This window comes from Homo sapiens, chromosome 2 (genome assembly GCF_000001405.40).
Source record: "Homo sapiens chromosome 2, GRCh38.p14 Primary Assembly".
Classification (NCBI taxonomy): Eukaryota; Metazoa; Chordata; class Mammalia; order Primates; family Hominidae; genus Homo; species Homo sapiens.
In genome coordinates this window covers 24192473-24206071 of record NC_000002.12, presented here as the reverse complement: position 1 = coordinate 24206071, position 13599 = coordinate 24192473, and the positions used below count along the sequence as shown (strand labels likewise).

General features: G+C 44.8%; 1 protein-coding gene across 16 annotated transcripts in view; it reads left to right on the top strand.

The window, feature by feature from the left end:
* ITSN2 (intersectin 2) overlaps positions 1-3208 on the top strand; it is a 158505-nt gene extending 155297 nt beyond the window's left edge. For 15 of the 16 annotated variants that reach the window (XM_047444586.1, XM_047444582.1, NM_001348182.2 and 12 more), the window contains 3 exons: positions 775-858; positions 1654-1827; positions 2289-3208. In XM_047444586.1, the coding sequence (XP_047300542.1) occupies positions 775-858; positions 1654-1827; positions 2289-2446 (416 nt within the window). In that variant the 3' untranslated portion in view covers positions 2447-3208. Of the gene's footprint in view, positions 1-774; positions 859-1653; positions 1828-2288 lie in introns of those variants that run through there. The other variant, XM_047444587.1, reaches the window with a different exon arrangement.

Sequence of the window (13599 nt, the reverse complement as noted above, 5' to 3'; positions counted from 1 at the left end):
GTTGCTGTGCATCGTCCGTGCGTTCAGTCCTTCCCACATTTGTCAATTACTTTGTGCCAGGCTCTGTGCTAGGCTTAACTGAGCCTGGACTTTGGTATCTGATGTTTAAATGTTGACCCTGCCATTTAGCAGCTCTGAGTGGATCACACTCCAGTCCTTTCTAAGCCTCAGTGTTTCTCATCAGTAAAATGGGGAGCTACATTATCAGGTAATTATGCAGTTTAAATAATATAATTTACATAAGTCTAGCACATGCCTAACACAAAGTAAGTATCCAGTAAATGTTAGCTGCTATTAAGTGCTGCACAAATACCATGTATTATTTTATTAATATTACTATTTGCTAGGCAATTGAGGGGTTAATATAAGGATGATCGAAACAGTCCATGCTCTACCCTGGCTCCTGTCTGGCAGAGGAGACAGACATTACACACGATTTCAGACCCAGCAGGCTGTGGGCTGCTCATAAGCGAGGGATACTGGATGCAGAGGAGGGAAGGGATCTGGGAGGTAGATGTGGGATCAGACCTGCATCTTGAAGGATGAGTAGGATGCTGACGGGCAGAGAAAGCAGGCAGGGCAGAAAGAGCAAGCAGGGGCTTCCTAGCAGGCAACACAGCCTGGGGAAAGGCACAGGGCAGCCAGATGCTGGGCTGTTGGGCCCAGGGCAGTGGCAGATGGGGACAGGGAGCCGGTAGTGTTATGGTTGGTTTGAAAGACAGGGTCTGCATCCTTGGAGAAGAGATTAATGAGACTTGTCTTCCTCTTTTGTAGCCCGCTCCCAAAAGACTTCAGGCATTGGGCGCCTGATGGTGCATGTCATTGAAGCTACAGAATTAAAAGCCTGCAAACCAAATGGTAAATACTGCCTTGATTCATTCAGCAGACATAACTGCCCTGCCCCAGTTTTTGCTGATGACTTTTTGAGACAGAGTCTCAGTGTATAACCTAGGCTGGAGTGCAGTGGCACGATCTTGGCTCACTGCAACCTCTGCCTCTGGGGTACAAGTGATTCTCAAGGCTTAGCCTCCTGAGTAGCTGGGATTACAGGTGTGCACCACCACGCCTGGCAAATTCTTGTATTTTTAGTAGACACAGGGTTTCACCATGTTGGCCAGGCTGGTCTCGAACTCCTGACCTCAAGTGATCTGCCCGCCTCGGCCTCCCAAAGTGCTGGGATTACAGCACTTTGTCACTGACAAAGTGCCACTGCGCCCAGCCACTGATGACTCTTCTGAACACTGAATAAAGGAATGCTTTCTAACAGTGTGTCCAGTGCCACTAAAATGCGCATATTGGACCAATATTCTTATCACTGTTTTCCCAGTAAGTGCCAGTGCCCGCCTTCCCGAGTGTGTCTGCGCCGAGGAAGCATGCAGCAGGTTGCAGTGACACTCACCCAGGATTGTTCCGTGCGGAGTGGTCCTGGCGGTGGAGCTCTCGGCCACTCCCCAGTTAATGCTGCTGTCAGCACTGGGAACTTGGAGACCCTGTTACTAGACCACAGGGATATGGTGCCCCAGGCAGCGGCTCCTGCTGCCATGGTCTCGAGTGACCCATTATTGGAATCCTGCTTCTGCTCAGGGAGGGCACTGTCAGTCGCTTCGTTTTACCTGCATGCACCACATGTGTCTGTGGTTTGTTTTTGTTCAGGAAAGAGCAACCCATACTGTGAAATCAGCATGGGCTCCCAGAGCTACACCACCAGGACCATCCAGGACACACTCAATCCCAAGTGGAATTTTAACTGCCAGTTCTTTATTAAGGATCTCTACCAAGACGTGCTGTGTCTCACCCTGTTTGACAGAGACCAGTTTTCACCAGATGGTAAGTGTCGCTCAGCCAGGGGATCTAAAGGCTTTCCCAGTTTCCTAGATCCTGGAGTCCAGATCTAGGGGCTTCAGCTGTGTGCAGACCCCATGCCACTTCAGGGAAGTGACACAGGCCTGTGTCATCTCGCTTTGGCAGCAGGTGGGTGGCCTTCCTCAGGGGAGGAGGTGGCCTGAGATGTGTTTCAGGTCTTTGACCCATCACTCCCTACACACACGACGTGAACACCACTCCTGGAGCATTCTCAGAATGGAGATTTGAATTCCATGTGGCAGCTTCTCACACACAAACCTGCCATCATTCCCCACACACCCACTCACGACATTCAACAGCCATGAGCCAAAAGAAGTTCCTTGTTTCAGATTTGAAGGTTTTATGAATCCACTTCTTCCGGATGTAGCTCTTTAATGATTTTATAAAGAAGAAAGACTTCTGACTCTCCTGTGTTTATTCACCAGATTTCCTGGGTCGTACTGAAATTCCAGTGGCAAAAATTCGAACAGAACAGGAAAGCAAAGGCCCTATGACCCGCCGACTGCTGCTGCATGAGGTCCCCACCGGGGAGGTCTGGGTCCGTTTTGACCTGCAGCTTTTTGAGCAAAAAACTCTCCTGTAGGGGTTCTAAAGGACAGCACCAGCGGGACAGCCCACAAGGCTGGGGCTGGAGAATGAGAGACTGCGCTCTCTTGGGGCTGAGGGAGCACCATGCAGCTTCACCCCTCACAAAGCCATGCACGCTGGGGGCTCTGTTTTCCTGCACACTAAATAGCTAGCAATCTATGCAAACACCTTTCCCATAAAGAAACCAAACCCCATAGTACAGTGCCTTGTCCTAGTGTTCACATGTTCAGCTCTGTTTGTTTAGATGCCAAGGTTTCCATTTTCAGGGCTATAAAAAGTATTACTTGGAAATGAGGCATCAGACCACCAGATGTTACCGCTCGGTTGAATGTGTCCACCGTGGAGTGGTTTGGTGACGCTGTAACCATTCCACGCCAGTGACCTCTGCTGGGTCACAGCCACTCAGGAGGGGAAGGGTCAGGATGAGAGGCTGCAGCCTCGACACTTGGCGCGGCCTGATACTGAAATAGCGTCTACTCGTGCACTGAATAAAAACAGAAACTTGATCATTTTATTCCTGATTAGATTTTATCACTCTCTGCTAAGACAATATAGTCTGGAGTATAAGTGGGAAAGCTTGATTTAAATACTGTGAACTCTAATAATGTGGAAAATATTTTTCAACTTTAATTTTCTGAAGTATAAATTATTTATGTAAATTCATTGTTTTTGCATATTTCTTAGGACATGCATCTTTAAGCTTTATCATTGCCCATATGTACAGAAAGAGAATAAAGACATATGTTTATGGATGGAACTTCGTCAAAGTCTGACTGATTTACTTTCTATATGAAAGCTGCTTTTTTTCTTTTTAATTTTCTCAGCCAGATGAAAGGCTCTTAAAAGGTACCTTCACAAGTTGCCTATAATGAAACCAAGTTTCCTTCCTGGTACGTGGGAAAACCAAGGACAGAGTGAGGATGAGGTCAGGAGACCCAGGGCCTCATCTTGACTCTGCCACTAATTTGCTCTGTGACTTTGGTGAATCTACCTCGTGTTTCTGGGGCTGGGTTTCTTTAATGGGTGAAATGGATGATCTCTGTGGGAGCTACTGACCCTCCTTCAGCTTGCCTCATCGAGTGATAACCTGAGGGTAACTTACAGCAAAGAAATGCACACAGGTCTTACACACTAAACCCAGTAAAAACTGGGAAAAGATCTGCCCCCCCCCTTTTTTTTTTTTTTTTTTTTTTTTTGAGACAGTGTCTCACTCTGTCGCCTAGGCTGGAGTGCAGTGGTTTGATCTCAGCTCACTGCAACCTCTGCCTCCTGGGTTCAAGCAATTCTCCTGCCTCAGCCTCCTGAGTAGCTGGGACTACAGGCGCCCACCACCATACCCAGCTAATTTTTGTATTTTTAGTAGAGACGGGGTTTCACCATGTTGGCCAGGCTGGTCTCAAACTCCTGACCTCAAGTGATCCGCCTGCCTGAGCCTCCCAAAGTGCTGGGATTACAGGCATGAGCCACTGTGCCCGGCCAGATAAGTCCTTTTGAAGGAATCATTTGAATTGCTAGGGCCCTGATTTCTAAGGGAGCAGGTCTCCAGGCAACTAGAGGAACAAGGAAGGATTCAAATGTCCCAAGGGCTTGGGCCTCCACCCTAGCCCCCGCTTCTGTTTAAACATAATTGCTGGGCAAAGGACTGGGAAACAGAACCGGCACATTCAGATTTAAAAATCCATCACTCACTCAGGTATAGATCCTGGGCACTGATTGGTTAAAATATAGACATAAAAAAGGTAAGAGATGTCACTGGATATATGAAACCTAAACAACTGAACATATTGCTTGCTTGTGGGAAAGTGGGTAGTCAGGCCCAGTCTCACGGAGCAGAGTGAACTGCTGGCTGTCTCTAGGGTTGGGGCTTGTTGGTCACAAGGCCAGCCTGGCTGATGTCAGCAGCAAGGCTGCCCTGATGACTCAAAACCAGCTCTAGGCTTACTGGGAACGAGAGCTACGGAACCGTCCTGTGTTCCCAGGGCTGCGGGGACCGTAATCCTCACTGTGGCGAGTGCCATTTCTCCACTGCTAGATACGACAGGACTTTTTGGTCAGATTTAGGGCAGAGGAGCATCAGGACCAGAGTCAGACAACCTCTATGAAACCACGGACCACACGGAGCATCGGCGCACCCGGCCACTCCAGCTGTCCCCTTACGCCTAGGAACGCACACCTGCCCCTTTAGAAATCAAATGTAAGCCTGACTTTTGGGAGGATGTGGGGTGTGCCTGAGTCTCCATACCCCGAGTCTCTATCCCGAGTCTCCATACCCCGAGTCTCCATACCTGAGTCTCCGTACCCCAAGACTCCATACCCCCGAGTCTGTACCGCCTGAGTCTCTGTACCGCCTGAGTCTATGTACCTCCACCCCAGCAGGACCTGGCATATGTGCCTCATGCGCCCAGACATCTCCCCTCTGCTGAGAACCCCCCTCAGCAGGTCCCTCCAGTGCTCTTCAGGAACAGGTGCCATGGCCGGGGAGGGGCACTCCGCTCTCTTAAAAGGCAACCCAAATTGTGAGCAATTTGATGACCAAGTCTGAGTGCATGTGAGGAGGGGATAAATGTGTTGTGTGGCACCTGAGGGACTGGCCTGAGAGAACACTGCCACCTCTGAGCTAGGGGACTGCCACCTCTGAGCAGCTCACCAAGCCTCAGAGCATTGTGTGTTGGGAGAGGATAATACTATCTTACTGCGAAAACTTTTCAGTGAACAAAGTACCTCACAGGGTTCCTGGTTCACAACAGGAGCTCAATAAATAAGAACTCCTGTGATTTGGGTATTTCTTGCAATTTATTTCCACTTCTGGAGGAAGAAAATATGTTTAGAGTATTTTAACTGCTGTACAGACACTGCCAAGTCAAGTCCACGAAGCTTCAGTACCAAGGGTGGCCCTGCCTGGCCACCTTCTGCAGGGAGGCCAGGTGCTGCCCCAGCACCTCAGCTGTCATCACTCTTTTTCCCACAGGCTGGGGACCCCTGTGCTGTTGGCTGTCCCCAGCAGCCCAGGAACGGGGTCTCTGCTGTCTGGTTCCTAAAACCTAGTGACAGAAGAGAAGGACTAAGTGTGGTGCAGGGATGCGGGGCTTACAGGTGCAGCGAGGACCCCCGCTGACTCTGCCCCACACTCAGCCCTCCTGCTGGAGCTAAGACTCCCGTTTCAGGCAGGTTTCCAGCCGGCCCTCTTGCTTTACCTCTCTCTCTCTCACTCTGTCTGGTTCCTGCCAACTCTCAGACAAGGCTGTCTGTATCTTTGAACTCCACAAATAACTAATCTTTTTGTGGTATGTACAGCAGAGATGACCAGCTGTCCACAAAATGCTCTCCTGCCATTGTAGGCAGACCAGCCATGGAATACTTTTCCCCATGCTCCTTCACCCTACAGTTAGGAACAGACATGGAACTGGGTCCAGCCCAGGGAACATCAGAGGAAATGACATGCCGCCTCCAGCCCGGCCCACATACACCTGACTCCCAGGAAGAACTCATCCACGATCTCTTCCCTTTTCAGGTTGATAGGAATGAGTTCCCAGTGCAACCTCGGAAGCCAGGTGCTGAAGATGACACAGGCCCATGAGATAGGATCCGAAAGACCGCACCGAGAGGGACAGCCTGCTGACCCACTGGGACAGTGCCAGGACATAAGCAAAACTTAACTGCTACTGCATTTAAACCTCAGTCCACTTGGGTCTACTAGTGTAGCCCACCCAACCATTAAGGGTAGAACTGACCACAGTCACATTAAGATCTGATATAAACAAGTGGGACTATATCAAACTAAAAAGCTTCTGCACAGCGAACAAAAAGGCAACCTACAGAAAGGGAGAAAATATTTCCAAACCATGTATCAAATAAAAGGTTAATATCCAAAATATATAAGGAACTCATTCACCTCAATAGCAAAAAAGTGAGTAACCCAATTTAAAAATGAGGACAGAGCCTGAACAGAGATTTTTCCAAAGCCTCCTTCCTGCCTCCCTAGAAATGTACAGATGGTCAACAGGTATATAAAAAGGTGCTCAACGTCACTAATCATCAAGGAAATGCAAATCAAAACCACAATGAGATGTCACCTCACACCTGTTAGGTTGGCTATTATGAAAAAGTCGAAAGATAACAAGCCTTCCCTTGTATGGGACTGTTAGATAAGAGTTCTACATTTATTTTCAAAGGATATGTCAGTATGTTCAATTATTTGGCTTCTACTTTCAAACTTCCTCGTAAAGCAACCTTTTTCAATTACCTGCTCCACCCTGACTCATTCTGATCACCTGCTCCACCCTAACTCATTCCAATTACCTGCTACCTGCTCTGCCCGGACTCCCGCCAAAGTGCTCACCCCATCACTCTCTTTAAATTCGCCAGTTGGAATTAGTTTAGCCTGTGCGGTCTAACCCTGGCCAATAGGGGAATGACACAGCCGCAGGGGCCACGTGCGTCAGGGATAAGAACCCTTTCTCCTCCCTTGTCCAAGTGTGCGCCCACCATTGCTCCATCTGTAAGGGCGCACCCTTCTACATAGAAGTATCTTGCCTTGGGGCTGGGTGCAATGGCTCACACCTGTAATCCCAGCACTTTGGGAGGCCAAGGCAGGCGGATCATGAGGTCAGGAGATTGAGACCATCCTGGCTAACACAGTGAAACCCCGCCTCTACTAAAAATAAAAAAAATTAGCCGGGCGTGGTGGCAGGCACCTGTAGTCCCAGCTACTTGGGAGGCTGAGGCAGGAGAATGGTGTGAACCTGGGAGGCAGAGCTTGCAGTGAGCCGAGATCAGTCACTGCACTCCAGCCTGGGTGACAGAGTGAGACTCCGTCTCAAAGAGTACAATGGGGACAGTAAATTTAGATAGCCATTACCAATTTTAGTTAGTCAACAACAATAATTAGAAGTACCTTGCCTTGCTGAGAATTAAAAAGAAAATCTTAATATTCGAGTGGTATTTCTTTTGTGGCACCGAAACTTTATATATAACACGATGCTTGTCTGTTAGAAGGAAAACTAACAAACAGAAAGGACATCCACACCAAAAACCCATCTGTACGTCACCATCATCAAAGACCAAAAGTAGACAAAAACCACAAAGATGGGGAAAAAATAGAGCAGAAAAACTGGAAACTCTAAAAAGCAGAGCACCTCTCCTCCTCCAAAGGAACGCAGTTCCTCACCAGCAACAGAACAAAGCTGGACGGAGAATGACTTTGACGAGTTGAGAGAAGAAGGCTTCAGACGATCAAACTACTCTGAGCTACAGGAGGAAATTCAAACCAATGGCAAAGAAGTTAAAAACTTTGAAAAAAAATTAGACGAATGGCTACCTAGAATATCCAATGCAGAGAAGTCCTTAAAGGAGCTGATGGAGCTGAAAGCCAAGGCTCAAGAACTACGTGAAGAATGCAGAAGCCTCAGGAGCCGATGCGATCAACTGGAAGAAAGGGTATCAGTGATGGAAGACGAAATGAATGAAATGAAGTGAGAAGGGAAGTTTAGAGAAAAAAGAATAAAAAGAAACGAACAAAGCCTCCAAGAAATATGGGACTATGTGAAAAGACCAAATCTACGTCTGATTGGTGTACCTGAAAGTGACGGGAAGAATGGCACCAAGTTGGAAAACACTCTGCAGGATATTATCCAGGAGAACTTCCCCAATCTAGCAAGGCAGGCCAACATTCAGATTCAGGAGATACAGAGAATGCCACAAAGATAGTCCTCGAGAAGAGCAACTCCAAGACACATAATTGTCGGATTCACCAAAGTTGAAATGAAGGAAAAAATGTTAAGGGCAGCCAGAGAGAAAAGTCGGGTTACCCACAAAGGGAAGCTCATCAGACTAACAGCTGATCTCTCGGCAGAAACTCTACCAGCCAGAAGAGAGTGGGGGCCGATATTCAACATTCTTAAAGAAAAGAATTTTCAACCCGGAATTTCATATCCAGCCAAACTAAGCTTCATAAGTGAAGGAGAAATAAAATACTTTACAGACAAGCAAATGCTGACAGATTTTGTCACCAACCAGGCCTGGCCTAAAAGAGCTCCTGAAGGAAGCACCAAACATGGAAAGGAACAACTGGTACCAGCCACTGCAAAAACATACCAAAATGTAAAGACCATCAAGGCTAGGAAGAAACTGCATCAACTAACGAGCAAAATCACCAGCTAACATCATAATGACAGGACCAAATTCACACATAACAATATTAACTTTAAATGTAAATGGGCTAAATGCTCCAATTAAAAGACACAGACTGACAAATTGGATAAGGAGTCAAGACCCATCAGTGTGCTGTATTCAGGAAACCCATCTCACATGCAGAGACACACATAGGCTCAAAATAAAGGGATGGAGGAAGATCTACCAAGCAAATGGAAAACAAAAAAAGGCAGGGGTTGCAATCCTAGTCTCTGATAAAACAGACTTTCAACCAAGAAAGATCAAAAGAGACAAAGAAGGCCATTATATAATGGTAAAGGGATCAATTCAACAAGAAGAGCTAACTATCCTAAATATATACGCACCCAATACAGGAGCACCTAGATTCATAAAGCAAGTCCTTAGTGACCTACAAAGAGACTTACACTCCCACACAATAACAATGGGAGACTTTAACACCCCATTGTCAACATTAGACAGATCAATGAGACAGAAAGTTAACAAGGATACCCAGGAATTGAACTCAGCTCTGCACCAAGCAGATCTAACAGACATCTACAGAACTCTCTACCCCAAATCAACAGAATATACATTTTTTTCAGCACCACACCACACCTATTCCAAAATTGACCACATACTTGGAAGTAAAACACTCCTCAGCAAACGTAAAAGAACAGAAATTATAACAAACTGTCTCTCAGACCACAGTGCAATCAAACTAGAACTCAGGATTAAGAAACTCACTCAAAACCGCTCAACTACATGGAAACTGAACAACCTGCTCCTGAATGACTACTGGGTATATAACGAAATGAAGGCAGAAATAAAGATGTTCTTTGAAACCAACAAAAACAAAGACACAACATACCAGAATCTCTGGGACACATTCAAAGCAGTGTGTAGAGGGAAATTTATAGCACTAAATGCCCACAAGAGAAAGCAGGAAAGATCCAAAATTGACACCCTAACGTCACAATTAAAAGAACTAGGAAAGCAAGAGCAAACACATTCAAAAGCTAGCAGAAGGCAAGAAATAACTAAAATCAGAGCAGAAATGAAGGAAATAGAAACACAAAAAACCCTTCAAAAAAATCAATGAATCCAGGAGCTGGTTTTTTGAAAAGATCAACAAAATTGATAGACCGCTAGCAAGACTAATAAAGAAGAAAAGAGAGAAGAATCAAATAGACGCAATAAAAAATGATAAAGGGGGTATCACCACCGATCCCACAGAAATACAAACTACCATCAGAGAATACTACAAACACCTCTACGCAAATAAACTAGAAAATCTAGAAGAAATGGATAAATTCCTGGACACATACACCCTCCCAAGACTAAACCAGGAAGAAGTTGAATCTATGAATAGACCAATAACAGGCTCTGAAATTGTGGCAATAATCAATTGCTTACCAACCAAAAAAAGTCCAGGTCCAGATGAATTCACAGCCGAATTCTACCAGAGGTACAAGGAGGAGCTGGTACCATTCCTTCTGAAACTATTCCAATCAATAGAAAAAGAGAGAATCCTCCCTAACTCATTTTATGAGGCCAGCATCATCCTGATACCAAAGCCTGACAGAGACACAACCAAAAAAGAGAATTTTAGACCAATATCCTTGATGAACATTGATGCAAAAATCCTCAATAAAATACTGGCAAACTGAATCCAGCAGCACAACAAAAAGCTTATCCACCATGATCAACTGGGCTTCATCCCTGGGATGCAAGGCTGGTTCAACATATGCAAATCAATGAATGTAATCCAGCATATAAACAGAACCAAAGACAAAAACCACATGATTATCTCAATACATGCAGAAAAGGCCTTTGACAAAATTCAACAACCTTCATGCTAAAAACTCTCAATAAATTAGGTATTGATAGGACCTATCTCAAAATAATAAGAGCTATCTATGACACACTCACAGCCAATATCATACTGAATGGGCAAAAACTGGAAGCATTCCCTTTGAAAACTGGTACAAGACAGGGATGCCCTCTCTCACCACTCCTATTCAACATAGTGTTGGAAGTTCTGGCCAGGGCAATGAGGCAGGAGAAGGAAATAAAGGGTATTCAATTAGGAAAAGAGGAAGTCAAATTGTCCCTGTTTGCAGATGACATGATTGTACCTCTAGAAAACCCCATTGTCTCAGCCCAAAACCTCCTTAAACTGATAAGGAACTTCAGCAAAGTCTCAGGATACAAAATCAATGTACAAAAATCACAAGCATTCTTATACACCAATAACAGACAAACAGAGAGCCAAATCATGAGTGAACTCCCATTCACAATTGCTTCAAAGAGAATAAAATACCTAGGAATCCAACTTACAAGGGATGTGAAGGACCTCTTCAAGGAGAACTACAAACCACTGCTCAATGAACAGATACAAACAAATGGAAGAACATTCCATGCTCATGGGTAGGAAGAATCAATATCGTGAAAATGGCCATACTGCCCAAGGTAATTTATAGATTCAATGCCATCCCCATCAAGCTACCAATGACTTTCTTCACAGATTGGAAAAAACTACTTTAAAGTTCATATGGAACCAAAAAAGAGCCCACATCACCAAGTCAATCCTAAGCCAAAAGAACAAAGCTGGAGGCATCACACTACCTGACTTCAAACTATACTACAAGGCTACAGTAACCAAAACAGCATGGTACTGGTACCAAAACAGAGATATAGATCAATGGAACAGAAAAGAGCCCTCAGAAATAATGCCGCATATCTACAACCATCTGATCTTTGACAAACCTGAGAAAAACAAGCAATGGGGAAAGGATTCCCTATTTAATAAATGGTGCTGGGAAAACTGGCTAGCCATATGTAGAAAGCTGAAACTGGATCCCTTCCTTACACCTCATACAAAAATTAATTCAAGATGGATTAAAGACTTACATGTTAGACCTAAAACCATAAAAATCCTAGAAGAAAACCTAGGCATTACCATTCAGGACATAGGCATGGGCAAGGACTTCAATTACCAAAAGCAATGGCAACAAAAGCCAAAATTGACAAATGGGATCTAATTAAACTAAAGAGCTTCTGCACAGCAAAAGAAAGTACCATCAGAGTGAACAGGCAACCTACAGAATGCGAGAAAATTTTTGCAACCTACTCATCTGACAAAGGGCTAATATCCAGAATCTACAATGAACTCAAACAAATTTACAAGAAAAAAACAAACAACCCCATCAAAAAGTGGGTGAACGACATGAACAGACACTTCTCAAAAGAAGACATTTATGCAGCCAAAAATCACATGAAAAAATGCTCATCATCACTGGCCATCAGAGAAATGCAAATCAAAACCACAATGAGATACCATCTCACACCAGTTAGAATGGCGATCATTAAAAAGTCAGGAAACAACAGGTGCTGGAGAGGATGTGGAGAAATAGGAACACTTTTACACTGTTGGTGGGACTGTAAACTAGTTCAACCATTGTGGAAGTCAGTGTGGTGATTCCTCAGGGATCTAGAACTAGAAATACCATTTGACCCAGCCATCCCATTACTGGGTATATACCCAAAGGATTATAAATCATGCTGCTATAAAGACACATGCACACATATGTTTATAGCAGCACTATTCACAATAGCAAAGACTTGGAACCAACCTAAATGTCCAACAACGATAGACTGGATTAAGAAAATGTGGCACATATACACCATGGAATACTATGCAGCCATAAAAAATGATGAGTTCATGTCCTTTGTAGGGACATGGATGAAACTGGAAACCATCATTCTCAGCAAACTATCGCAAGGACAAAAAACCAAACGCTGCATGTTCTCACTCATAGGTGGGAATTGAACAGTGAGAACACATGGACACAGGAAGGGGAACATCACACTCCGGAGACTGTTGTGGGGTTGGGGGAGCGGGGGAGGGATAGCATTAGCAGATATACCTAATGCTAAATGACGAGTTAATGGGTACAGCACACCAACATGGCACATGTATACATATGTAACAAACCTGCACATTGTGCACATGTACCCTAAAACTTAAAGTATAATAATAATAAAATTAAAAAAAAAAATAACAGTACCCTTGTACACTGTTGGTGGAATGTAGATCACTACAGCCATTACGGAAAACAGCATGGAGGTTTCCAAAAAAAACTAAAAATAGAATGACCATACAATTCAGCAATCCCACTTCCAGGTGTATATACATATATTCAAAGGAAATAAAATCACCATCTTGAAGGGATATCTACACTCCCGTGTTCACTGCAGCATTATTCACAATAGCCAAGAAATGGGAACAACCTAAGTGTCTGCTGACATGAACTGGTAAAGAAAATGCATATGGTACACATACCATGGACCAATAACCCGCCTGAGAAGAGAAGGAAGTCCTGTCATTTGCAACAACATAGGTGAATGTGGAGGATGTTATGGTAAGTGAAAGAAGCCAGGCACAGAAAGACAAATACTGCCTGATCTCATATTGTCAGAGGTGTGTGAACCAGGGCAACTCCATCTTAAATAGGAGCTGGGTAAAATAAGGCTAAAGCCTACTGGGTTGCATTCCCAGACGGTGAGGCATTCTAACTCACAGGATGAGATAGGAGGTCAGCACAAAATACAGGTCATAAAGACCTTGCTGATAAAACAGGCTAATAAAAAAGAGCCAGCCAAAACCCACCAAAACCAAGATGGCGACGACAATGACCTCTCGTCACCCTCACTGCTACACTCCCACCAGCGCCATGACAGTTTATAGATGCCATGGCAAGGTCAGAAAGTTATCCTATATGGTCTAAAAGGGGAGGCAAGAATAATCCACCCCTTATTTAGCATATCATCAAGAAATAACCACAAAATGGGCAACCAGCAGCCCTCAGGGCTGCTCTATGGAGTCGTCGTTCTTTTATTCCTTTACTTTCTCAATAAACTTGCTTTCACTTTGCACTGTGGACTGGCCGTGAATTCTTTCTTGCTTGAGATCCAACAAACCTCTCTTGAGGTCTGGAT